This window comes from Homo sapiens, chromosome 10 (genome assembly GCF_000001405.40).
Source record: "Homo sapiens chromosome 10, GRCh38.p14 Primary Assembly".
Lineage (NCBI taxonomy): Eukaryota > Metazoa > Chordata > Mammalia > Primates > Hominidae > Homo > Homo sapiens.
Window position 1 is genome coordinate 48,382,157 of NC_000010.11, and position 27,705 is coordinate 48,409,861.

General features: G+C 36.3%; 1 protein-coding gene across 26 annotated transcripts in view, besides 2 other annotated features; it reads left to right on the forward strand.

The window, feature by feature from the left end:
• MAPK8 (mitogen-activated protein kinase 8) overlaps positions 1-27,705 on the forward strand; it is a 132,684-nt gene that overhangs the window by 75,480 nt on the left and 29,499 nt on the right. For all 26 annotated transcript variants that reach the window (NR_136583.2, NR_136584.2, NR_136585.2 and 23 more), the window contains 2 exons: positions 19,456-19,626; positions 22,696-22,825. Coding sequence is in view for 23 of the 26 variants with exons in the window: in XM_047425482.1 (XP_047281438.1) it covers positions 19,505-19,626; positions 22,696-22,825 (252 nt within the window). In the remaining 3 variants the exon portion in view is untranslated. The remainder of the gene's footprint in view (positions 1-19,455; positions 19,627-22,695; positions 22,826-27,705) is intronic.
• Positions 2,410-2,704: a silencer, noted in NCBI's record as "tiled region #12210; HepG2 Repressive non-DNase unmatched - State 23:Low, and K562 Repressive DNase matched - State 5:Enh". NCBI's record gives its function as "represses a minimal TATA promoter and a strong SV40 promoter by Sharpr-MPRA in HepG2 and K562 cells {active_cell/tissue: HepG2 | K562}" and the evidence as "EXISTENCE:reporter gene assay evidence [ECO:0000049][PMID:27701403]".
• Positions 17,175-17,917: an enhancer, noted in NCBI's record as "OCT4-NANOG hESC enhancer chr10:49607374-49608116 (GRCh37/hg19 assembly coordinates)". NCBI's record gives its function as "activates a minimal SCP1, AML or CMV promoter by ChIP-STARR-seq in primed H9 embryonic stem cells {active_cell/tissue: H9 hESC(primed)}" and the evidence as "EXISTENCE:reporter gene assay evidence [ECO:0000049][PMID:30033119]".

Genomic DNA, 27,705 nt, shown 5'->3' on the forward strand with positions numbered 1-27,705 from the left:
ATATCACAGAAGCAATAGTTTTATGAGCTTCAGACATCTAGTAGAGAAAGCCTAAACCTTTCTGACCAGCAGACCCAGGCAAAAATGTCTGATTGTGTTTAAAACTGACAAGTCTGAAGACATTCTAATTTTATTTTACCAACAATTAAAAAGCTAATTTTATTTCTCAAAGATTACTAAAATCACATTAACTTGAAAAATATTTGGGATTATTAAGCTATGAGCATTAATTTGTCAGTTTGGTACCATGTAAACAATATACAAACAGATCTGTACACATATATACATAAAAATACAAACATAAGTGAAGATTTCATAGCTTTGATATAAAAATTCTAGCCATGAGACAAGTAAAACTCGCTATTTTAAAAGGACATTGGATTCAAAGTTCATAAATAGAACAAGTTCAAGTTTATTGTATATGCCTGAAGCCCTTACCAAGTTTTAAATAACAAGTAGCAAATTTATATTTCAAGCACAGAGAATTTAAGCTTTCCAAAAGGCCAATTCAATTTTACGTTATCTTTGGCAAAAATCATGTTAACAGAATCCAAAAGAGTAAAACATAAAGGCCTTTCTTCTACAAAAAAAAAATATTTTATATATTTTTTATATATTATATATCTTTATATATACTTATATATAATATATATTATATATATGACTCAGGCTAGCTATATATATACAGCTGTGTGTATATATACATATATACACATTCAGGCTAGCTATGTGTATATATATAGCTATGTGTATATATATATATGTATATATATATAGCTATGTGTATATATATATGTATATATATATAGATAGCCTGAATGTCAGCTTTTAATTAAGCTAATTTCTGGCTATAGACCTCTTTCAAAGAAAAAAAAATATTTTCAAGTTTCTTAACAGATTTTAGCTGGAATAAACAGCCAATATTCCTGGCTTTTGACTTTTTTTTTCTTTTTAACCAAGGGTACCTTTCCAAGTGACTCACCAAAACCAATAAGCCTTAAGAAAAATTTTTATGACTTGACCAAGGATGCACAAGCCATCTCCAAAGAGGTGCAAAGCAAGCCCTCACAAGATCCAGAACCACCCCAAAGACAGTTTAAATAATGAAAGTCTTGGTAGCCACAAATAAGGTGCAAATCCACATTTTTGCTTGACTGTACTCTCTAGGGTTTCAGCTGATGGCAGACAGAAGAAGACAGGAAATCAAAAGCTGTTCATGGAAGGGAAAAGGATCAGTAACAAATGGGTACCCTAAAGGGTCAAGAGTCATATTAATATTGTAATAATTGAAAATATTCAAATTCTTGTAAATGTTTCTCTCCTAAGCTAAAGATATTAACCAAAGAAAGGAATTTTTTGTTGTTCTAAAGAATTTTAACTCTGTTTTAGATCTTATCTCAGCTGGAATGCTGCTTGGCTAATTCCCTGCATGTTAACATTTCAAACACATGATAAGATTTATCTCTCCAAGGTACTGTGAACTCCAGCTGGGCATTAAAGGATATCATCAGTGCCATTCATTAGTCCTGGTTTTGAAAAAAAAAAGTTGTTAGATCTGTATTTTTATAATCTCAGTAGTTTCATTCTCATTTTTTAGTTGCACTGTTTGCTCCTTTTGTTCCAAATTTAAATACATTTCTCTCTTTTAGACTATTAATTTTCCAGTTACCCATTTTATTGCCCTAAGTAGTTGTTAGGTTCTTCTAAAGGGATGACACTTAACATGAAATATGTAGAAAAAATATATAACTCAAAAGTCCAGAGCTGAAATCCAAGGAAGAAGGATGTAGGTAAAAGCCAGTTAAGACAAGATGGCCTGGCCCAGTGCCGTGGCTCATGCCTGCAATCCCAGCACTTTGGGAGGCCAAGGCAGGTGGATCACTTGAGGTCAGTGAGACTAGCCTGGCCAACATGATGAGATCCCGTCTCTACTAAAAATACAAAAATTAGCCAGGTGTGGTAGCGGGCACCTGTAATCCCAGCTGCGTGGGAGGGTGAGGCAGAAGAATCGCTTGAGCCGGAGAGTCAGAGGTTGCAGTGAGCCGAGATCACGCTAGTGCACTCCAGCCTGGGCGACAGAGCGAGACAGTCTCAAAAAATAAAAAGACAAGATGGCCTGAAAAGCACCTTCACCAAAGACTTATGTAAATGTAAGCCAATGGTAAGTTTCTAGTGACTCAGCACTCCCTCTCCAGGTACAGTGAGGTAAAGACCCTTACAAATGAAGATTTCTTTTGTAGATGTAAATTTCTTTTATAAATAGCCAACTAAATGACAGAAAGCTGTATTTTGGACACTGATTTTGTTGAATGGGTGGTCTTTTTATGTTCACTTTTGTTAGCTTAAAAATTACTGAGTTCAGCTGGGAAAGCCCATTAAGAAAAAGGGCAAAAAAAGCATAATATATGTGTGGACTCAGCATGGATAGCTCTGATAAAGAAGCAAGCCTGAAGGGTTACCCCTAGGTTAAAGACCTCTTCTAAAAAAGAAGGGTTTGAAAGAACAGCCCAAATAAAATGTACACCTTCAACCAAAGAGTGGTATAGGTCCAGATTATTAGTAGGACTTTTGTCCAATAATTTATCTTGGAATTGGAAGAACATGAGAGTTTCATAGTTGGCCAGGTGCCAAGTCCAGGAATGGCTAAGGGTGGCTTACTGTGAATCCTGCTCACAGTGCCAGAAATGTCAACCTAAAGGGAAGAAAATGAGGCATAGTTAATACAGATAATGTATTTGGGCCAAGGTTGAGGACTGCAGCCTAGGACACACTTCCAAGTGGTCTTGGGGAGTGCTCCAGAGAACAGAAGAGAGGCTCATATTTTTAGAGAAAAAAAGGATGAATCAGGAAAGGGATTGATTGCAAAAAGGTATTCATCAGGAATTCTTGTTGGTTTACAGAAATAACATTGGTTATTTATTGTCTATACATTGTTGAACTATAGTGTATATGGCATTTTATGACTACTTGGGGTCAGTTAGTCTAGAGCTTCCATAGCATGTGGCTTCAAGAGGTAATTATTTAGCTCAAGGGGTAGTGAGACATGACTACTGTACATTTAAAATGCCTCTCTGGGCCTGATAATTTAAAGGGGCTCGAATTCCATAGAGCAAAAGTTTTTTTTGTTTTGTTTTTCATAACCCTCATGTTTAGTTAACATTGCTGACATTCATGAATCAAAAAACCCAAACCACAAAAAAACAAGCTATTTTTATTATCACTTCTGCTACCTAGCATGTCAGGCAGTCATGTTATGTTTAAATTGCCTTCAAATGGTTTCAGGAACTTTTCCCATATGTATGTTATTGAACCACTCCAGAAAATCGTAAATCCCTTTTGTAGAGGAAGAGATGATTAGACGAGAAATACTTAGTGTCTGGCACAGATTTATACAGAAAAAAATTTTTGTTTTTAGTTTCTGGTCTTTGTTGTTACTTTGTTGGTAGTAAAAAATGAGTTTTTTTTTTAATTAGCCAGGCTTTAGGCCTTATCCAGTGAAGGACAACTTGAAGATGAGATAGAGCATAAAATTCAAGCTATTTCTAGAGATTGATACAGGTTCATTAGCTGGACAATTAAACTTTTTACTTGTCTTGCAAGTCTTCAACTTAGATTTGTCATATTTGGTTATCATAATCAAATGGAAATAGTAGTTTTTGCCCCATCTTGCTGAGCTTTTAGATTTTGAGATCATTTGTAACATACTCTGAAATTCAGTGAATTTTATTTTTTTCTGCTGGGGGCAGGCACATTTAATTACAGAAAGCCATTTGCCATGGAATCTTTTTTTCTAAAAACTACCTAGCGTTAAAAAAAAATCTGATCATAATTACGTTGCTAGCAAGATAAACTAGCAATAAGTATATGTGGTATCAACTAATATGAAAAAAATTATCTGTAAAATGCATCTGGGACACTTCTCATTTGCTATTCTTAATTTGCAGTTTTAGGAATTGTCTCGTGGTGGTTGAATGTGATCAGCATTTTCTTTTATGAGCCTGGGAGTCTTATTAGTGAAAGATTTGGCAAAAGTTAGAAGAAAATGTCAGGCATTCGGGTCTTCTCAAGGAATGAGATTTTTCAGTATGTAACCAATTTTTTTGGATAGGCAAAGATTTAACCCAAGTAGTACACTGTACAAAGGTGCCTTTAAAACTCAGCATTCTTTCTTGTGTAAAACCTCATAAAAATTTTATGGAAATTTATGGGTATCAATTTTTCTTAGATTTAAAATTAAAATAGCTTTTGAGTACCTTGGGAAATAGTATATTCTTACAAAGTAGATGACCTATTTATTCAGTTGAATGTCCTTGTGAAAATTGACGTTGCTTTACTGACACTAATAATCTACATGCAGTTGAGCAAGCCCAGAAGCCAACTTTGGAATATTTTGAAATGTTTACCATTTTGAGTACAAAGTAATTTTAGAATCTTGGATACCAGCTCACTGAAGTGTTATGGTAATATCATACCCATATCATTTCCGTTACTTATATTTGTTATTGTTTAAACAGTAGCCAAAAATGGCCAGGCACGGTGGCTCACATCTGTAATCCCATTACTTTCGGAGGCCAAGGCAGGAGGATTGCTTGAGACCAAGGAGTTCAAGGCCAGTGGGCCATATAGCAAGACCTCATCTCCATTGAAATATATATATTTTAAAGTAGCCAGAAACATGTACTTACTTTACTGCCAAGGATATGGCTGTAAAGTCTTGAGATCTTTAATAAATAACTTGAATGTCTGAATGACTTGGAAACAAGTTCTGAATTAGCTTACTGATTTCATGTGTCTGGCGCTATTTAGCTAAATCCACCCTCCTCAAAATGTAGAAATTGTTAAGGGACAGTTTCTTGTTGAGACAGTTTCTGTCTTAGCATCATTTTGTGGTTAGAATGTAGTAAACCTACTCAAATAAGCCCAATTAAGAATTAAATCTATTTTATGAATAGGTCTTTAAAAACCCAATTGCAGAACTACAAACCAGGCCTCTTTCTCCCCTTTGTGGGTGGGGGTCAGATTCTCCTAGAAGAGAGGGCAAACTAGGTATGATTAGTATACCTGCTAGAAAGAACAGTTAAGTGGCCAGGGCAAACAAAGTTGTCTCTTGGCTGTAATAATTTTTTTCTGGACTCATGGGCAACTAAAGAAACATGCTAATTATACTGATGCTTAAAGGATTTGCCCTCTATTACGGAGGGTCTGTGGGAGTAGAACTGTAACCTCTTCTTTATAAGCGAGTAGTACAGAAAAGGGAGAAGGAGAAAGAAGAATCCTAAATATGGAGGGGAATCATCTGGAAAGAGCTCAGATTAATTTTTATAAAATTGTGTAAGATTTTATAAGATTATATATTTTTATAAGATTATAACCTCTTCCTGGAAGCCTCATTTTTAAACTGCTTATGGTAGTGACATTTTATTATACATGAATTTAACTTTTGAATATCCAGCTGTACCTGTCTTGACAGATAAAATGACAGTTTCAGTAGTACAGACAATTCTGCCCATCCTAGGAAGCTTATGCCCTTGCAGATGAGAATCTGCTGTTCTCTCTTAGTTTGTACATGTCTCCCGTCAGATGAGCATGTCATATGTAGTGTAAATACTTTAAATAAAATCATGGCCCTGAATGTTATTGTACTAAATGTTACATTATGATTTAAGGAGATTTTCGGGGTAATTTTGACTATGTCAGTTTTGTGGATTATTTGGAAGAGTGGAATTTTGTGCACTCTGGGCTCGAGTCTAAAGTTAGTGTGTAAAGCCAAAGTCAGAATCACCCTTGAAAGTTCCTCAACTCATAAAAGCCAATATGAAATCTTTTGTGTACATATACACTCTTGAGCATTAATTCTTACACACATTTAAATTGGAGAGTGACTAAGCTAGACTGAAAGGCAAAAGGAAAGTATACAGGTGTTGTATATTCATTCAGCTTTAAACATGGTATAGGTAGGGAATTCTAAAATGTTCCTTCTTGCCTGCCAGCTTTACTTCATTTTGTTTTAATAATAAACTCTAGAATCTTAATTCTTACTAATCGTGTATTTGTTGTGGGAATTTCAGGAGCTCGTTAGCCTCACCTTTCTGTGAGATAGCTTCTGAAATCAGTTGGCTAAATTCTAAGGTTAGCCATTAAGTAGGTTTATGATAAAACTTTGTTTTATTGTAGTTTTCATTATTTCCCTTTTCTTTTGCTTTAGTATTTTAGTAACATCACTTTTAAGATGTTACTCATCTCAAAGGAGGCAAAGGAAGAGATTTGGTATCAAGTCCTTCATTCAACTAAAGTAGAAAGAGAGGGAAGTAGTATGCCCCTCTAGGCTGGTGGTTGCTGTGGGAATCAATGTAAAAACCCCTTTAAGAGGATAAAAATGGGACAGTTAACTGGAAACTTACCAATGAGACATTCTCTTTCTAGAGCTTTTTCTTTTCTAGCATGTTCCCCCCAGTTTTAAGAAGATAACCCACACTCTTATCTGTTTCTTCAGTATATAATCTCAATTGTGAGATTACAAAATAATTTCTCTTTAATAATATGCCCAGGTGAGAATGGGAGTAAAATTCTGGTTTTCTTTATTTGGTGCTAGTGTCAGCAGTGACTGAAACATAGGCTGTCTCAGTCTGGGCCCTGTAGTACAATGCTCAGACCTAGGCTGGCTTACTCTTCATATGGCTCTACTACCTTAGTATAGAGGAGGAACCGTAAAGTCCAAGATTGGGCACTTCATTCACACCACTTAGTAGGCAGTCTCCTAAGGAAAGAAGAAAAGTGTATGTCCGGAGAGACATAAATGGCTAGTCAGCCATAGTTTTTTGGGGGGAAAGGAGGAAGGGGAGAGTACCCTAGGATGCACCCTATATTTCACATATTGTTTCTACTACTTTTGGTTAAATTGTAGACAAGTCTGTTGTTGGAATAGGCCTTCTTAGTGCAGGACATAGTGGTATTTCTGTATTAATTACTTAAAATATAGTTGAAAAATGAACTTTGAGAATACCTAGAACTGAAATAGATGCATTTGTATGGTGGCAGCTGAGATCTGATCTAAAGGCCAGTTGAGGGCTAATAAGGAGTGAGGTTAAATTTAAGCTTATTACTCTTTTAGGAAAATGATGTGAGTTAGGGTTGAGGCCAAGAAATTCTTACTATATTCTGAAAGTAGTGAGACTTCATTCGTTAGAGCTAACCTCATAGTGCTCACTATGAGCACTCACCTTAAAGGTTATTATCTGCCTCTTGAAGAAGCACTTACTCAGCGGATCCTGTAACATGTGGTTCTGCCACTTTGTCCATAACTGATTAGACCAGGGCAAGCCTCTGGCTCAAGGCTAATGGCTTATGAAGTGGCCTGGTATGAAAACTGCATAAACAGCAATAACAAGATTAATCATCTTTCTCTTTCTCTTTCTCTCCTGTAAACTACTCCTTGAGAGGAGAAAGACAGGCAATTCATAATGGGAATTTAAAATAACAGTTTGTTCACTTGTTCATTGGTTCATTCAACACTTTTTTGAATGTCTGCTGTTAGCCAGGTACTACTCAAGGCACTGGTGATTTATTCATGAACAGAACAAAATTCATGCTTTCATGGAACTTGGGTTTGAGTGGGACAGATAATAACCATGTACTAGAATGTTAGCAATGGTAAGTGATATGAAGAAAAATGAAGTGGGTTGAGGGGAGAGAGTGTGCTTAAAGGGGAATTTAGATAGGCTAGTCAAGTAAGGCATCTCTGAGGAGCTGTATTAAGAGATTTATTATACGGAATTAGTTCATGTGGGTATGGAGGTTCATAGGTCCCAAGATCTGCAGCTTGCAAGCTGAAGACCCTGGATAGCTGATGGTGTAGCACCAGTTTGAGTCCAAAGGCCTGAGAACCAGAACACCGAATGTAGTTTCAGTCCAAAGGCCAGTAGGCTCAAGATCTAGGAAGAGCTGATGTTTCAGTTTGAGTCTAAAGGCAGGAAAACACCAATGTCCAAGCTCAAGGCAGGCAGGAAGAGTTCCCACTTATTCATACTTTTTGTTTTATTCAGGGCTTCTACTGATTGAATGAGGCCCACCCACATCACAGAGTGCAGTCAGCTTTACTCAGTCTGTTTATTTATATAAATGTTAAAATTATCCAAAACACCTTCACAGAAACACCCAGAATAATGTTTAACCAAATATATGGGCACCCTGTGTCCTAGGCAAGTTGATGCATAAAATTAACTGTCATAGATAGGTCTATTGGTAGCCAAAGAACCAGGTTAAGTAAAAATAGATAGGCTCTAAGTTACCTCAGTGACTTATTGCCAGGATTGCCTGATGATTACAGCTGTCTTAAATTCTGAACCTTGTTGTATTACCTGAATTATTTTCCAGGGTCTCTAAAGTCTGGCTATATGGTTGCATTGAACTTATTCTTTTCTCCTTAAGTATGTTTTATGTAACTAGTTTAACCTGTGTGTTTCTACATTCAGGCTTGACAGCCTAGCCATTTTATGGACGGGGCGGAGCGGGGGCGGTCAGCCTGATATATAAAGATATCACAGAAATAAACCTTGAGTCATAAAAACCTAATATAGCCGCCCCCCTTTACTAATGAAGAGAAACACTGGTAAAGACACATGAAACAATTTATTAAGTAATTTGTTACTTTAAAAAGATTTACATTTTGGTTAACTTTTTTAGCAGTTGTTTGTTCTAACTCTGTGAAGAGCCTGTTTTGGAAATCTGAAAATGTAGGAGATGCAGCTATTGTCCTCAGAAAGACCATAGTCTGATAATAAAATCTGCATAAGTAAATATACAGCAAAGTAGTTTAGATGAGAATTTAGGTTAGAGCTGGTTTGAATGGAAAAGGCTTATGAAGATCACATTTAAGCTAGTCTTAGACAAAATTTGGATAGATACAAAAGAGTGTTAAAAATATTTCATGAAAGGGAAAGGGAAATGAACAAATGAGATACATCAGAGTTTGGGGGATGGTAGTTTAGCTGTGTTGACATGGTTGTAGTCTTCTTGCTGTAGGAGTAGTAACAGGTGAGATTTGAAAGTTAAAGCCGAACCTCAGTATTTCCATACTTTTGGTTGCACATTAATTCTTTTGAGCCTCAGATTATTCCATCTGTTAACTGGGATAATAATGCCAATATTTGTTCATATGTTTTAATCAGTTACATCTAAATTCTATAACAAGAGTTCCTTTGTTTTTAATCTCAGAAGCCTTCTAAGTAGGGAAATGAGTCATCAGAAACCATGGCATTTCCTTCTCACACATACTCTTGCTGTTCAAGCTTCATGATGGAGAGATCAGTATATCAAATGCATCCTCTATAAATCTCACCAGTATCCTTAATGCCCTTATCTTGGTGAATGTGGAAAAACTCAAAGTGCTTTTTTTCTGTTCTCTCAACACAACAATCACAGAAGACTTATGTGATCAAATGTTGCATAGGGGGAGTTCCCCACACACCAAGCAAGCGATCAGTTTTGCAGCAGATGCCTGCTAAGTGTCTTCCAATTCCATTCTGACACTAGTTACCTGGAGATAGCATGAGATCTCACAAGTCGAGGGCCCAGTCCCCTCCCACCGCCACCAGATACCAGTCTCAGGTCTGGAACTTCTGACTGGCTCCAAGTTGAGGTTCCCATGCCCCTCTCTTTGGGTTAGATTAATTTGCTAGAGCAGCTTTACAAAACTGAGGGAAACACCTTTACCAGTTTATTATAAAGGATATTACAAAGGATGCAGATAATGAGATGCATAGGGTAAGGTATGGGGGAAGGAACACAGAGCTTCCAGACCTTCCCAGGGCACGCCATCTTCCAGAATCCTCCACGTGTTCAGCTATCCGAAAGTTCCCTGAACCCTGTCCTCTTGAGCCTTTCATGGAGATTTATTGGATAGGCATGATTGACAACCATGTGGAAATGGGATTGGACAAAAAGGGTATAATCTAATACTAACAGGCCGAGTGGAGAAACCCACAAGCCTGTCTGTCCAAATTCTTCTTAGCCTTTCTGTGCAGCATTCCTTTCTCAAGGGTGTGGGACAGGACCACTTCTGAAATGAGAGTCTTATGACCTGCAGTCAGAAAGGCAGGGGAAGATTAGACTCTTGCCTTGAGCTGGTGAAAGGAGGATGGGAAAATCAGAGAGAGAGATTCTGTTTTCTGAGGCCTGGAGCACCCCAACATCATAACCAAAGTCTGTAACAAGGTATATGGGAGTTAAGAGCCGGGAGCTGTGGATGAAAACCTATATATATGTTCCCTATATATACAATACATAGAATTATATATATGTTATTATCTAATATGTAATAGATATATAATATCACACTTGGAAATTGCACTTTTTCTCAGTCTTTTGATGATACTTTTTTATGGTAGTGACACACTAATATCTCCATCCGTATGGCCACACATGTGCTCTGGATCCCATTCTTTTCTTCCTTTTTGGAAATAATATGCTATCTGAGAAACCTATTTTCTTTCTCATTCCCCCATTCTCACTCTTCCTCTCTTTATTGGATCCTTTTTGTTAGCATATAAACATGTTCAGGTTGTCTCTATGTTATATGTGTTATACTATGCTATATCATATATACTATATAATCTAATTATCCTCCCTTGACCATTTACTCCTCTTTATCTATTTCATCTTTGGTCTTCTTTGTTAAACTTCTCTAAAGAAGTAGCTATATCCAGTTTCCTTATAAATTTCCCAGTTACATGGCAGCTCATTTTAATCTAGCTTCTGCTGCGTTCGCTCTACTCAAATGGCTTATTTGACACCTCTGTTAAAATCAATGCTATTAGCCATTTTGTTCTTTAAAACACTCTCTTCCTTTGGCTTCTTCAGTATGTTCTTGTTTTCTGTCTAGGTCTCTGGCTGCATCTTCTGTGGCTTCCTTGTCAGCTCATCTTTCTCCAGTTGCTCATTAAATGTGGTTGTTATAAAGCTGAATCTTAGGTATCTTTTTACTTAACGACTACTCTTGAATAACTTGTCTCTCATTGCTCCAGTTACAGTGACAACTCCTACATTTATCTTTCACCGAGACTACTCATCTGGGATCCAGTTCTATATCTAGATACCAAATTGATATTTCCATTTGAATGTCTTAAAGTTATCTCAGACTCAACAGGTTTAAGACTTACAACTTCTCTTCCTCCATATTCTCTTTATCTTCAAGATTATATTTTTGGACTCATTGTAGTCCAAAATTTGAAGGACTCAAATTCTCTACCCCTTACATTGTAACCATAGTCAATTAATCATTCTAAGATTCAGTTTCATAATCTGTAAGATGGAAAAAATGTAGTACCTTTCCTAACATAAGGAAACATCAGACAAAATGTGAATATGGGATGTAATACCACGGACTAGATTTACCCTCTAGCTGTAAACAAATAGAAAACCCTCCTAGGGTTGTTTTCAGTATTAAAATAGTATTTACAAAGCCCTTGAAACAGGACCCCATGTAAAGTAAGATTTTTTTAAAGTGTCTGCTTTATTGTTGAATATGGATATGAAGTTGTCAGATGAAGCTTGCAATGATGCTTAAATGCTTATATTATAAAAAGCAGTTCTCAAATCAGTACTTTTAAGATTGCATTTTAAGAAACTAAAAGAAAGAATAGCTCCAAAACAAGCAATGAGAAGAAAATAAAGATAAAATAGGAAGCATTGAAATATAAAAGTGTAAAACATTAGAGAAAAGTAAGAGAAATTAAAATCTTGTTTTTTTGAAAAGATCACTAATAGTGATAAAATTCTAGCCAGACTGATTAGAAAAAAGAAGACACAAATGAGATTAATAGGAATGAAAGAGGAGAGATGAGTATAGATTCTATAGACATTAAATTGGACAACTTAGATTATTAAATGAGCAATTTCCTTGAAAAACACAAACTAACAAAGCCTGTTTAAGAAGAAATAGTTGCCAAACAGCCCTATGTTTATAAGAGAATGTAGATTTATAATTAAAACATTCCCTCAAAAAGAAAACAACTCATCATAGAAGACTTCACTGAGATAGTCTATGAAACATTTAAAGATGAATATCATTTCCATACACTCTTTCTGAAAATAAGAGGGAACACTGTTGCAACTCATTTTATGTCAGCATTACTCTAATATGAAAGAAAACTACAGTCCAGTATTCCTTATAAAATAGATGGAAAAATCTTCAATGAAATTTTAGCTAGCTGAATCAATACATAAAAAGGATAATATTTTATGACCAAGCGGGATTTATTCCATGAATGCAAGGGTGGTTTAACATTTGAAAATCAATCAGTGTAATTAGCCATATGAACCAACTAAGAAAGAAAACTATATGATTATTTCAGTATATTCAGAAAAGTCATTTAACAGAATTAGTACCATTAATGATAAAAACTCTCAAACTAGGATTTAAAGGGAACTTTCTCAACCTGTCTGTCAAAGGACAACTAGTAAAATCCTATAATATATATATCATGCTTAGTGATGAAAGACTGAATGCTTTCTCTCTTAAGATCATGAACAGGCACCACTTCTATTCGGCATTGTATGGAAATTATAGTTAGGGCAGTGGAGCAAGAAAAAGAATTCAAAGGCATTCAAATTGGAAATGAAAAAATAAATTGCTTTTGTATACAGAAAATCCCAATACACAAAAAAAGCCTACTAAGATGAATAAGTGAGTCTATTACAAAATCATTATACAGAAATTCATTGCATTTCTACATACTAGTAATGGGTAATTGGAAATTTAAATACAAACAAATTAAAATAAAAATATTAGCATTCAAAATCTTAATGCTTATGGAGAAGTTAAACAAAATTATGTAAAGCCTGTATGTTAGAAATTATTATACAGGCCTATGGAAACAAGTGTCATGTCTGTGAATCAAAAAACTCAAAATTACTATAATACCATTTCTCCCCAAATTGATGTATACCATAAATGCAATTCTAGTCAATATCTTTGCAGGCCTTTTTTGTAAAAATTGACAAGCTTAGTTCTGATATTTATATAAAAATACAAAGGACCTAGAATAGCTGACAATTTTAAAAAAGAACAAAGTTTAATGACTTAAATTGCCTGATTTTCACACTTACTAGAAAGCTACATTACTCAAGACAGTGTGGTATTGGCCGAAGGATAAACATATTATTAATGGTATAGAAAATAGTTCAGAAATAGGCCCAGACACATATATTTATCTGATTTTCAGCAAAACTGCTAAGGCAATTCAGTGGAGGAAACTGGTAATCTTTTTAACAAATGATTTTTGGACAATTGGACATCTGAATGCAAAACAATGAATCTTAACCTTTAAGTGGGCAATGATTTCTTAGACATACAGAACCAAACTGTGAAAGAAAAAATAAACCAGCTGTACATCATCCAAATTAAAAACTTTTGATCTTCAAAAGTCACTGTTAACACAATTCCTATCAAAATCTTAGCATTATTTTTTGTAGACATGGACAAATTTATTCTAAAATGTATATAGAATTATGAAGTAACTGGAAACAATTTTGAGTAAGAAGAATAGAGCTGAAAAAAATCACACCACTAGATTCTAACTAAGACGTAACATACAGCATTATACTCAGGACACTGTGGTATTGATCAAAAGATAGATCAGTGAAACAGAATTAAAAGTCCAGAAGTAGACCCGTACAAGTAGAGCCAACTGAAGTTTGACAAAGATGCAAAAGTAATTCAGTGGGGAGAAATGATGCTTTTTGCAACAAATGGTATTAGTATAATTAGATAATAACCAAAGAAATAAACTTTGACTTAAAACTCTTATACAACAGTTATCATAGATCTAAATGTAAAGTGTGAACTATAAAACTTTTATAAGGAAACAAAAGAGAAGATCTTTTTGATCTAGGGCCAGGTGAACATTTCTTGTACCAAATCCATAAAGGAGAAAAAAATAATGACTTGGGCTTCATCAAAATTAAAAACTTTTACTCTGTGAAAGACACTGTTAAGAGCATAAAAAGGCAAGCCACAGACTGGAAGAAAATACTTGGAAATCGCATGTCTGATAAATGTGTATCCCGAATATATTTTAAAAGTCTCTAAACTCAACAGTAGGAAATAAGACAATGCAATTAGAAAATGAGTAAAACACTGAACAGACACTTCACCAAAGAGTATATAGATGACAAAGAAGCACATGAAAAGATGCTCAACATGATTAGCTACTAGGAAAATGCAAATTTAAAGCCATGATGAGATATGACACACGTACTAGAATGGCTAAAATTAAAAGTACTGGCAAAACGAAGAGTTGGTAAGAATGTAGAGGAACTAGATCTTTCACACATTGCTGGTGGAAGTGCAAAATGATACAGCACTCTGGAAAACAGTTTGCCAGTTTCTTATAAAATTAAACATGGAGTTACCATATCTTACTCCTGGATATTTACCCTAAAGAATTGAAAACTTATATTCACACAAAAACATGTACACAAAGCCTTAGAACAGCTTTGTCATAGCCAGCAAGGGGTGAATAGATAGCAAATTGTCATACATTCATACAATGAATAATATTCAGTAAGAAAAAGAGCAAGCTATTGATATACCAACACCTTGGAGAATCTTAAGGGCATTATACTGAGTGAAATAGCTATTCAGTTCTTTTCCCTATTATAAAAATACGGCTGTCTTCTTATGAGTTTTAAGCCTATATACATTCCAGATACACATCCTTTGTCAGATGTTTTACAACTATTTTTTTCCCAGTCTGTGGCTTGCCTTTCCATTTTCTTAACAGTGTCTTTTTATTTTGAAATAATTTTAGGCTCACATAGAAGTTACAAAATATTACAGTTTCTGGGTACCTTTCACCCAGCAACAGCATTTGACAAACCATAGTACAACTATCAAAATGAGGAAACTAACACTGGTATAAAACTATTAACCAAACTAGAAATTTTCCTCAGATTTCAAAAGATTTAAAAGATTACTTATGGTAATTTTAATTTGTATAACCTTTTTTTTTTTTTGAGACAGTCTCACTCTGTTGCCCAGGATAGCATGCAGTAGTGCTATCATAGCTCACTGCAGCCTCTGACTCCTGGGCTGAAGTGATCCTTCTGCCTCAGCCTCCCAAATAGCTAGGACTATAGATGTGCACTACTACTGTGGCAGATTTTTTTTTTCTTTCATTTTTTATAGAGATGGGGTCTCTCTATGTTGCCTAGGCTGGTCTCGAACTCCTGGGCTCAAGGAGTCCTTCTGTCTTGGCCTTCCAAAGTGCCAGGATTATAGATATGAGCCACTACTACTAACCTATAACTTTTTAAATGAAAAAAATGATAGTGACAAAGAACAGATTAGTAGTTGCCGCAGGTAGACTTGGGAGGAGTATGTGATTATAAAGGGATGGCATGAAGATGTTTCTTTGAGGTGATGGAATAGTTCAGTATTCTTTTTTTCTTTTTTTGAGACAGAGTCTCATTCTGTCACCCAGGCTGGAGTGCAGTGGTACGATCTTGGCTCACTGCAACCTTCGTCTCCAGGGTTCAAGCGATTCTCCTGCCTCAGCCTCCCAAGTAGCTGGGACTACAGGCATATGCCACCACGCCCAGCTAATTTTTGTGTTTTTAGTACAGACAGGGTTTCACCGTGTTAGCCAGGCTGGTATTGAACTCCTGACCTCAAGTGATCTGCCCTCCTCAGCCTCCCAAAGTGCTAGGATTACAGGAGTGAGCCACTGTACCAGGCCGGAATAGTTCAGTATTCTGATTGTAGTGGAGGTTATACTAATATAAAGTATGTGATAAATTTGTATAGAACTATACACACACAGGGCATGTAAAAACTGGTAAAATCTGAGGAAAGTTTCTAGTTTGATTAATAGTTTTATACCAGTGTTAGTTTCCTCATTTTGATAGTTGTACTATGGTTTGTCAGATGTTGTTGCTGGGTGAAAGGTACCCAGAAACTGTAATATTTTTGTAACTTCTATGTGAGTCTGAAATTATTTCAAAATAAAAAGACATTGTTAAGAAAATGGAAAGGCAAGCCACAGACTGGGAAAAAATAGTTGCAAAACATCTGACAAAGGATGTGTATCTAGAATGTATAGTCTTAAAACTCATAAGAAGACAGCCGTATTTTTACAATAGGGAAAAGAACTGAATAGCTATTTCACCAAAAATAATTACATAAACGGCATATAAGCCCATGAAAAGGTGCTCACCTTCATTAGTTATTAGGAAATGTAAATGTAAACCACCATGAAATACCACTGTACACCCACTAGTATAGATAAAATTAAATGGCAATCCGAAGAATGTGGAACAACTGGACCTCTCACATGTTGCTGGTGCAAATGAAAAATGATATGGCCTCTTTGCAAGACAGTTTGACAATTTCTTAAAAATGTAGGGCTCAGCAATTCCACTCCTAGATAATTAAACGAAGATGAATGAAGAAAAAGTGAAATTCATACCAGCATCATTTATAATAACCCTAAAACTGTAAACAGTTGAAATGTCCAAGTGGTACGTCCACACAATGAAATTTATTCCCTAGTAAAAGGACTCCAGCATGGATGAATCTCAAAATCATTAGAACAAATGAAAGACGCCAAACAAAAATTACATGCTGTGTGATTTCATTTATATGCAGATCTAGAAAAGGCACAATAACCAATTCAGTGGTTGCTAGGAGTTGGGGGGCAAGGGGTAGAGAGTGGAGATTGACCATATAGGGAATGTATTGAAGTAATGGGAATGTTTTATATCATGATTTTCCTGATGATGGTTACGTAATTGTATACATTAATCGAAACTCATCAAATTGTACAGTTGGTACAATTTTTAGGTCCTTTGCATTCGATTTGTTTTTTTCTGCCTAGAAAGCTCTCTCCTCTCCCTGTCTGGTTGACTCATATTCAGTGTTCAGATCTTGCTTAAACGTCATGTTGTCAGGAGTATCTGTTCCTGAGCCCAGACTGGCATAGGCTTCTTTGACATCCTGCCGCTTTCCTTCATTGTCCTTACCACAGCTGTAGTTTCAGTCAGGCAGGTAGCCATCAGCTTAAGGTCTCTTTTTCTGTCCTAGCTGCAACACTGTGAGGAGCCAGATGCTGATTACCATCTTGTTAACAGTACGTAGCATGGTGCTTAAATCAGGTTTGAATATTGCATGACTGAGTATAAGTGAGTAGAGAGTTGTGTGTCTTCTGTTCTTGTAAGTGGCAGCTGTGGCTTCTGCCAAGGGTACTACTAGCTGGGGCTGCCTGCTTAACCTTGGAGCCTGTCTGCCTGCCTCTGCCCTGCTCCTGGGGAGTTGTGACTATCCATGCTCATCTGCCTGCCATAGCCTTTGTTCAGACTTCTTGTCACCGTGAATCCCACTCCTGTGGCCGGGCCACCCTGTTCTGAGAACAGAAAGGAGCTTTTCCTTGCTGTTATTCTTTTAGCAGAAAAGGAAACCTGCCCTACTGCATGCATGTTCCTGGATCTACTCAAGCTTTTTCTTTTTTTCCAGCAAGTGGAGAAACTCTGAAACACAGTGTTTTGTTACCTGCTTTGGTAACAATATATCACCTCCTGTGAAGCACCAGAGTACCCCTTTGTCTCCTGATTATCTTAATCTTTTTGAGAGAGACATATGACTCCTCCAAGTAAGGTTAGGAATCCTAATCTGCAGGTAGTCTGAATGCTTGGGTGGAAGGTTTAACCTTCCCAAAGGTGAAAACACCATCAACTTTGTGCTCAGCCTCTGCTCATATTTGCAGATTATCAGAGATCATTATTACTGTCTCCATGTCCCCCGCTGACCCAGTTTCCAGGATAAATGTGTAGAATAATTAATAAAGGGCTTGACAGCCAACACTCCTCTTCCACTCTTCCCACTTCTCTTCTTCCTTATTTCACTACTGTAGTAGGTAAGAGGGAATTCAGGTTATGGTAGGAAAATGATTAGGATGAACAATCCCTGTATGTGAGCATTGTGTGAACATAGCTCAGTGTTTAAATCATTACCAAAGCTCCTTTCTTTATTATGGGCTGTCCACTTAAGAAGAATTTATGAGTCTTGTCATTTCAGACAGTCTTCCCTGGAGCACTACATGACTAGTCCAGTTAGTGATTTTAGAAATGTTTCTCTGGACCTTTTAAAATGTATCCAAGTCTAATTCCTCATTTGTTTCTAGTTTATTTGTCCTCGGTTTTACAGCTTACATAGTTTGGAGTTTCCTGTTTAGTTTTGTTTATTTTTAACTCCTTTAGGCCTAAGACTCTTCATTGTTTCTCTTTCATCTGAGTCATTATAATAGTCTCTCAAAAGTTCATATTCCACTCTTGCTCCCCCTTTCTCCTGCAGTACAATCTACATGTCGCAGCCAAGGATCAGGTCAAGGCATTCTCATGCTCTCTCCAGTGGCTCACCTTCTTACCTAGTTTGTGATCTGGCCCCAGGACATGCAGACTGCCTAGTAGGCAATTAATATCTGCTGAATTAATTCTTTGTATTGTAAGTCATATCAGGATTTCTTGGGGGTTAGCATTATCTTAAAACCACAAAAAACAATAACTTTAGACCTAATTGGTTTCATGACTTATTGAGGAGGCGAGGAATAGGTTAAAGCTGCTTTGCATACATTTTGGAATAGTCTCTTTTGTCTAGTAAGGATGGATAAGTTTGTTAATAACCAGTATTCACATGGGTAGAAAAAAAGTGTCTTGATTTTTAATCCTACAAGTAGTAAAGGAATGGTAGTCAGAAGTTGAATCGTACTTTTAATGCCTCAGGCAGGATAGAATAGTATTGTTTTGTTTTGTATCCCAATATGCCTAACTACTTCTCTCTCTCTCCTTTCTGTTTTGCTTCTCATCCTTTCACCCATTACAGTCTCAGTATGTGTGTTACACCAGGAGGTTGCCTTGGCAGGTCAGAGGATCTGTCACAGTGAAGGCACTGTGGTACCCTTTGTTTTTTAGGCAAGGATGACACATGCTAGTCAACTTATTTCCATTTGTTGTTCCCTCCACTTGGCACTAAATGAGACTTAACCATTTTTGAATCAAAGTTTATAAATTTCTTACAAAAATTAAGGTTTTTATTCTCTATAATAAGCACATGAGAAAGACTGGTTTTAAATTTTAAACTGTGGAGTGACGTAAAAACATGTTTAATTTTAATTATTTGCTTTCTTTTGTTCGTCTTGTAAGTTATTAATGTATTAATACTGGTAACTTCTAGATTGGAGGAATGATTTATCCTAATGTTTCTTTTTTAAAAAAAACTATCAGTCATTCATATGGCATATGCTAATCAAGGCTCTGCGGTATTTTTTTTCTTATGTTTTTTAATGAAGCAGCTCTTTTCATGATCTAGCAGTCTGTGTTACTATCAGTACGTAAACAGTAAGGACTCAAATTTTAAGATTAAAACAAGTTCATTTTGTTAACATCATGTTTTGTTGCATCTTGCAGCTTCTTGGTGAATTTTTGGATGAAGCCATTAAATTAATTGCTTGCCATCATGAGCAGAAGCAAGCGTGACAACAATTTTTATAGTGTAGAGATTGGAGATTCTACATTCACAGTCCTGAAACGATATCAGAATTTAAAACCTATAGGCTCAGGAGCTCAAGGAATAGTATGGTAAGTGTTTACTTCCAAAAATTAGGCAAAGAATCATTAACTGCTACCTTTTCTCCTCTCGTAATTTAGATACCTTGGCAAATATTTAACTTGCTTTGAAAAATTAAATTAAAACTAAAAATTAAACGAAAACTATTCCACAGTAAATTGTTTGCTTCAGGATCAATGGTCTTTTCTTTATTATTATTATTAAAGGTTGAGTATCCCTTATCTGAAATGCTTAGGACCAGAAGTGTCAGATTTTGGAATATTTGCATTGGTTGAGCATTCCAAATTCAAATCAGAAATACTTCAGTGAACATTTCCTTTGAGCATCATGTCAGTGCCCCCAAAATTTAGATTCTCGAGCATTTTAGATTTCATATTTTCAGATTTGGGATAATAACCTGTATTATTCATAAGATACAACTCTATAAACTAGCACTGCCATCTTTAAGTATAAACTATGATTAAATACTTGGGCATAGCCATTGAAGACAAATATCTCTATCAGCAAAGAATAAGTGGCATGCTTGTTAATTTCATGTATACATGTATTCCCATAGATAATTGTTTAATAAGAAGCTTCACTTAGTCATCACTTTCACACTATAATGAAGCGTGGAATTTCAGAAATCTTATTCTATACTGGGGAATGAAGTCAGCTAATATCTCACTGTGTGTGTTTCAAAATTCATCCATATGTTTAAAATTGATTTATTAGCTAATTTCTACAAAAGCCTCAGGCTATATCAGCATAATTCTTTATAAACTGAAATGCAGATCACTCTTTGGGATAGTTCTGATACTGATTGCAGATCACTAAATTAGCATAATAATAAACTAGTGTTTTGGGGAATTATAAGCCTCACTCAAGAATAATTATATTTTTATTACCTCTTCTTGAAACAAATTTCAGAATCTATTCTAAACAAAATGTAAACTGTTAAGTATTTATAATCCAGTATTTCTCCTAGGTTCTAAAAAAACTGTTTTACATGTGCACAGGGAGTCATGCATAGGATTGGTGTTTGCAGCACCATTTATAACAGCAAAAATTGGAAATAGCATCAAATCTATCAACAGAAGAATAAAAAATTGTGATACAGTCATGCTGTGAAATACTATATAACATTTTAAACGAACTGGAGCCATATGTGTCAACAAGGATAACCTCAGAAATGTAGTGCTGGGCTTCAAAGCAAGATGTAGAATATATATATACATCATTATACCATTTACATGTAGCTTAAAATATGCAAAGCAGTACCATATATTTATGGATTATATATATGTACAAAAGATTAAAACATGCATAAATACCAAACTTAGGATGTTGTTTATCTCTGAGAAAATAGAGAAAAGAAAGGAGGTTTGACCTATAATATTATATTTCTTTCTAAAAAATTCAGAGCAAGCCGGGCGCGGTGGCTCACGCCTATAATCCCCGCACTTTGGGAGGCCGAGGTGGGTGGATCATGAGGTCAGGAGTTCAAGACCAGCCTGGCCAACATGGTGAAACCCTGTCTGTACTCAAAATACAAAAATTAGCTGGGCATGGTGGCACATGCCTGTAATCCCAGCTACTTGGGAGGCGGAGGCAGGAGAATAGCTTGAACCCGGGAGGTGGAGGTTGTGGTGAGCTGAGATGGTGTCACTGCACTCCAGCCTGGGTGATAGAGTGAGACTCCGTCTAAAAAAAAAAAAAAAATCAGAGCAATTATGGTAACGTATTAAGATTTAATAAATTTGCATAATAGAATGGCATTTATTATCTTTCCTGCATTCTTGAAGTAATTTACAATATCAAAAATTATAGAAGTTGGAGTCATTTTGTAAGCCGTTTTGACTGGCCTGTTCTCATTGTAACCAACCACATTTAACCAACCATAAATTAAATTTAAAGAAAATCATATTATATAGTCAGTATTAGGATTCTGAAAGCCAGCTCTCTGTTCAGATTTTGTTTTTTGTTTTTTGTTTTTTTGTTTTTTTGTTTTTTTTTGAGACAGAGTCTCACTCTGTCGCCCAGGCTAGAGTGCAGTGGCGTGATCTTGGCTCACTGCAAGCTCCGCCTCCCGGGTTCACGCCATTCTCCCGCCTCAGCCTCCGGAGTAGCTGGGGCTACAGGTGCCTGCCACCACGCCCGGCTAATTTGTGTGTGTGTGTGTGTGTGTGTGTGTGTGTGTGTGTGTGTATTTTTAGTAGAGACAGGGTTTCACCATGTTAGCCGGGATGGTCTCGATCTCCTGATCTCGTGATCTACCCGCCTCGGCCTCCCAAAGTGCTGGGATTACAGGCGTGAGCCACTGCGCCTGGCCCTTCTGTATTTATTTTATTGTGTCCAAAAGGATAGAAGTAATGTGTTTACATAGAATTATTCAGCAAATCTTTTGAGTAGAATTTATATGCTTTTTTTTTTTTTGAGGGAGTCTACCAGGCTGGAGTGCGGTGGTGCGATCTTGGCTCACTGCAACTTCCGCCTCCCAGGTTCAAGTGATTCCCTTGCCTTAGCCTCTCAAGTAGCTGGGACTACAGGTGTGCACCATCACACCCAGCTAATTTTTTTGTATTTTAGTAGAGGCGGAGTTTCACTGTGTTGGCCAGGATGGTCTCGATCTCCTGACCTCATGATCCACCCACCTTGACCTCCCAAAGTGCTGGGATTACAGGCGTGAGCCACTGCACCCAGCCTCGTATGCATTCTTTATCCTACCTTTTCTTGATGGAAGTACAAGGTTAAGGATTTATTTAGGCTTTAGGCTATCTAGTGGAGCTAAATAATTATGGATTTGTACATTGAGTGCCCACGATGTACTAGGTGGATCTTTGAGGCAACACAACGAACATGCAGGGTCTCTGTTGGCATAGTCCACTGTCTATTTGGATCCATTAGCATTTTAGGAAATAGTTGCAAAAAAATATATGTTGTAATAGATATAGAAGACACATGTTGAGCGTCATAGACTTGGAAGGGATCCAGTTACTTGTCTTTGGAGAAAGTGAGAAATGTATATGACTGTTTCATGAATTCAGTTTACAGATTTTTGCTTGAAGTTTTTTTGTGTGTTTTTGAATTTCTTATTACAGCGCAGCTTATGATGCCATTCTTGAAAGAAATGTTGCAATCAAGAAGCTAAGCCGACCATTTCAGAATCAGACTCATGCCAAGCGGGCCTACAGAGAGCTAGTTCTTATGAAATGTGTTAATCACAAAAATGTAAGTGAACATTTTTGGTTTCCTAAGTATAGATGAAATCAAGATTTATTCATGAATATGTGAATATCAAAGACTAAATATTAGGGGCTTTAAATTGTTCTGTATTAAAACATTGTTTAAAAGGGATATATATATATATATATATATCTACAGGGTGATTTTCCTCAACTTTATTAAATTGTATCAGAAGAATGGCTTCTAAAATTTAGATTATATGATTTCCTGTCATTTAATTTACAAAAGGAGTTTTAAAAAGATAAGCGTTTGAGAAGAATTTTATTCAGCTTGATCTCATCTTCTGCTTTTTGTTCTCCGTCAGGCTGACATTTAGAAAACTGTAGCATTAGCACAGAGATGAAATTGTTCCCATTATGCTTTGACACTCTGACTTTAATCATATTGAATATAAAATTTATATCACTTCTCCCTACCCCACTCCCACCTCTTTAAGTGATGGCAGTATTCACTGATCACTTTATGATGAGGATAGTGGGTTTAGCAGAAAGTGTTTGAAACTATCTAGAGGGTATTAACATGTTTCTAATTCTATTTTCTAATGATTGCAAAGATAAGTCTTTATAAAGATATATAAGTTGCACTCATTTTGAGAATAAACAGTTATACTTTTTTAAACTTACATTAAGCTTATTCATACTTTTGTGATTGTTCTAATGGAATGATTTCTTCAGTTGAGGAAATAAACTAGGAGTGAATTGTGTAAGGGACACTTTTAGGCAGTCCTAAACCGAAGGCATCTGACTAAAGACATTTCGTAGTGTTTGTCCAAAAGAGTTTATATAATATAATGAGCACAGTACCTTCTGACTACAGATAATACAATTTACCACATTTTGAGATCTAAATATGTGCAGGCCTCTGTGTATTGGAGTTACTGGGTTCATTATCAAGGGAAAAAAAAATCATGGAAGTTCAGGATTAGGCCCTTTATTTGGGGAGCTTACAATGGTGTTTTGAATACAAAACAGACATACAGAGAGTTAAATATCAAACATCACAAAGCAGTGGCCGTTTGTCAAATGATGATGGTGGCCCATATATTGAAATCTAAAAAGAGGGACGATTTCTGTGAGCTTTAATTAACTGGGAAGGCTTTGGGGAGGAGTAGACCTAGGCTGACTCTTAAAGATGGGGTAAAAATTGGATTGTTGAAGGAAAGGAGCCTTCAGAGAGGAAGAATGACGTAAAAAAGGTCCAGAGACAAAGATTAAACTTAGATAATAATAGGGAGGAAGTTGTGGTAGCCATTCTTGTTCCAAGCGGGAACTTGATGTGTTGCTCATCACAGTTTTGCTGGTGGCATCCTGTCCATGGATAGAGCTGCTCGTGCCCCTTGTGGCCTGTGAACGCAGTTCCATGGCAGTGGTGGTGTTGCCTTAGTTTTTCCTTGGGGAGGAGTTCAGTTAATCCTACCTCTCAAGCCTGGGTGACTGCAAAGAAAGGTGGTTCCTTCAACTGCATGGAGTATGACTAAGCATGTCTCACATGATTAGGCCTCTAGCAGGGGTGGCAGAGGTTTATCCAGGCAGAACTCTCAGCACCTAGAAGAGTGTGGACAAGAGTAGGTACTCAGAATATATTTGTTCAGTGAGTGAGTATAAAGCTAAATATGGGAAAACTGGAAATGGTAACTGAATTATTCCACTCACCCATGGATGGATGTTTTTGTAGTGTTTTGCCTTTTAAACAATTTCATCCTCTGTACAGATTGTCTCTTCACTGGTCTAAGCATCTCTGGTTTTTCTCATTCTTTTCATAGATGGTCTTGAGTTTCTTTTTTAATCTTGGCCGTTTATCTCTGAACACACTTTGAAAGTGACCTAGCACACACTACTGCATAAGCCACCTAGCACACAGTACTGCACGTCTGATCAAATCCTCTGAGAGGAGCTGAGGCATGTCATCTCTTAACTGTAGACATTAAAACCCTGTTTAGAAATTTCGTCCCCATCTGACTCCCGTTGTCTTTCTTTGTTACAGGCCTGCCTTACAGTTCCCATCTCACCCAGTCTTTATATTTTTTCTTTTGATTATGGAGAATTAAGTATAGTACTTCATGTTTCTCCCTATTAAATTTCAAAGGTGAAATGTGGTTGCTCTTCCTGGTCTACTAGTGATTGCTGTGATTGCTTTTTTCTTCCTTGTTCTGACTTTTCACTTGTGGGCTTCACTTCCCAGTTTTGCTCAGGATATCTTTGTAATAGCTGGATTAATTCATTAGCAACTTTTGAGCATATTGCAGAAATTACGTGTCTAACTATCACAGTTATCCAGCTGTTTCCAATTCATCATCTTATTCACATGGATGTTATTATTAGAAACATTTTGTAAAATGCCATTTTGAAATCTTCATATACTGTGTCTGGTTGCATTTTTCTGATTTATTGCTATTGTTCTTTGTTGTTTTTATTCATGGAAGGAAATAGTATTTCTCAATGAACTTTTACCTGCTCTTGGTAATTGTTACTTCTTTTGAAGTAGTTATATACCACTACTAATCATTGACTTTTGCTTGGCTGTCCAGTCTATAACTGATATAATTTCCTTTATTTCCCTTTTTGAAAAATGGGACAACTATCTGTTTGAATCTCTTTTATAACAGCTTTATTGAAATATAATTTCTGTGTCATGCAATTCACCCATTTGAAGTATACCATTCAGTGGTTTTTAGTATATTCAGTGATATGTGGGACCATCACTACAGTCAGTTCTAGAATAATTTTATCACCTCAGGATAAAAGAAAGAAATCTTTTATCCTTTAGCTGTCATTCCCCTACCTCCCATCCTTCTCAGTTCTAAACAACCACTAATCAATCTTCTTTCTGTCTCTATATGCCTTTAATATTTAATACCTCTCTTCTACTCTAGGGCTTCCCAGATATTAATGAGAATAGATTTAGTATTTGTCCAAGTCTCCTATTGTGCATTGCATGCGGTTGGTAGACTTGAACTTATTTAGAGCAGCCAGATGCTTTCTTATTATCATTTCCCTCTCTTAAATTTGTTTGGCCCTTTCTGGTGTATTATTTTTCCGAATTTATTCACTGAACAAATATTTAAATACCTTATGTAAAGCTGAATGCTTAAAAGAAAAACATCAATTCTGCCCTTATAAAGTTTATGCCTAAAAAACAAATTCCCATCCCCAAGTATCATCGTCAGCAAACATTTTTATATGTGTGTCATGTAACTTGCCATATACTAGGCAGTAAAAGTGATTAAGACACAGTTGTTTCTAATAAGGATTCTCTGTGGTAGGGATGAGGCTGATGTGAAAATGAGACTAGATTACAGTGTGCTGAATACCATAACAACATTAGAAGATAACTGGGGACAAAGTAGAGAGAATAGTCAACTCTGTCAAGAACTAGGAGTTGTCAGAATCTACAAAAGAGGTTCACCTGGAAGATAATTAAGTTGAGTAGATAAATGACAAGCATAGGGAATAGTATGTTTAAAAGCATCAAAACATTTTAAAAATGACATTCTTAAAACTAGCATAGCTAAAGTATGAAGTGTAATATAGGACTTAGCAGGAGATGAAGTGAGTTGATGGCATATCATGGAGGCTTTTGAATATACTGCAAGGGAGTTTCAGAATATATTTGTTGGCTTTAAATTTTTGAGGAGGTAAGTAATATGATCAGGTCTTTCTTTTACCATATTATAGGCAGTAAATGGTAGCTGGATTTGTAGAAAACCATCGTTAGTGACCCTTAATCAGCTCAGGCCACCATAACAAAATACTGTACACTGGGTGTCTTAAACAACAGAGATTTATTTCTCACAATTCTGTAGGCTGGGAAGTTCAAGATCAAGTTGCTGGTCAATTTGATTCTTGATGAGGGCCTGCTTCCTGACTTGGAGGTGGCCAACTTTTCACCTTGTCCTCATTTGCCTTTCTTCAGTGTGTGCTCAAGGAGAGGGAGAGAAAAATTGCTCTTTTCGTCTTCCCTTGTTTTAGGCCACTAATTCCATTATGAGCGCCCCACTCTCATGACCTAATCTAACCCTTATTACCTTCCAAAGGCCCCATTTCCAAATACTATCACATTGGGTGCTAGGAGTTAAACATATGAATTGTGTGGGGTGTGTGTGTGAGGGACAATCAATCTGTAACACTAGTGTTAGAAGGAATTACAGCATGAACAGTCTAGATGTTAGTCTTCAAGCTGTTTATAGCACAGGGAATGGAAAAAAGAGATTGAAGGTCAGATTGACAGTAGAATGGACAGCATTCTATGAGTATTTATTATGGTGCATATACTGAAAAAGGAGTTAAAAATCACCCTGAGCCTTCTTTTGTAAAAGAGAGGGCACACTGGAAAAGTAAGGGGTTTGGGTAGGAATGAAAATGAATTCAGTGTTACCTTATTTTGTGAGATGTCCATGCAAAAAGTGAAAAGAAATGGGTTAAACACAATAGTGTGAGAAGGGATATGCTTATGGATGAACCAGTGAAATAGACTGGGAATGAAGAAAACTGGGCAAGTGCAGTATTATGAAAAACCAAGGGAGGAAAGGGCTGAGATTATATAGAGATACTGAATTGGAAAAGAACTGGTAGAAGGGATTTAAGATTTGCTGATAAATTATGTAGAGGTTTGTATAATGTAAGTGCTTGATAATTGACTGTTCATAAATGGAATTACAGATAAATGGGTTACAGATACTCTGTGCCTCCACCTATCCATCCCCTCCTCCAACTCCTGCCCATAAAGTTGCAATATATAAAATGAAAGCAATTAACTTGAGCTTAGAATGTAAAGAAAGATTTTAAACTGATGGTAGTTTTTTTTAACTCATGTATTTGTAGTTCCCAAATTAAAATATTATGAAGTAATTTCTAATTTTTCTGTCT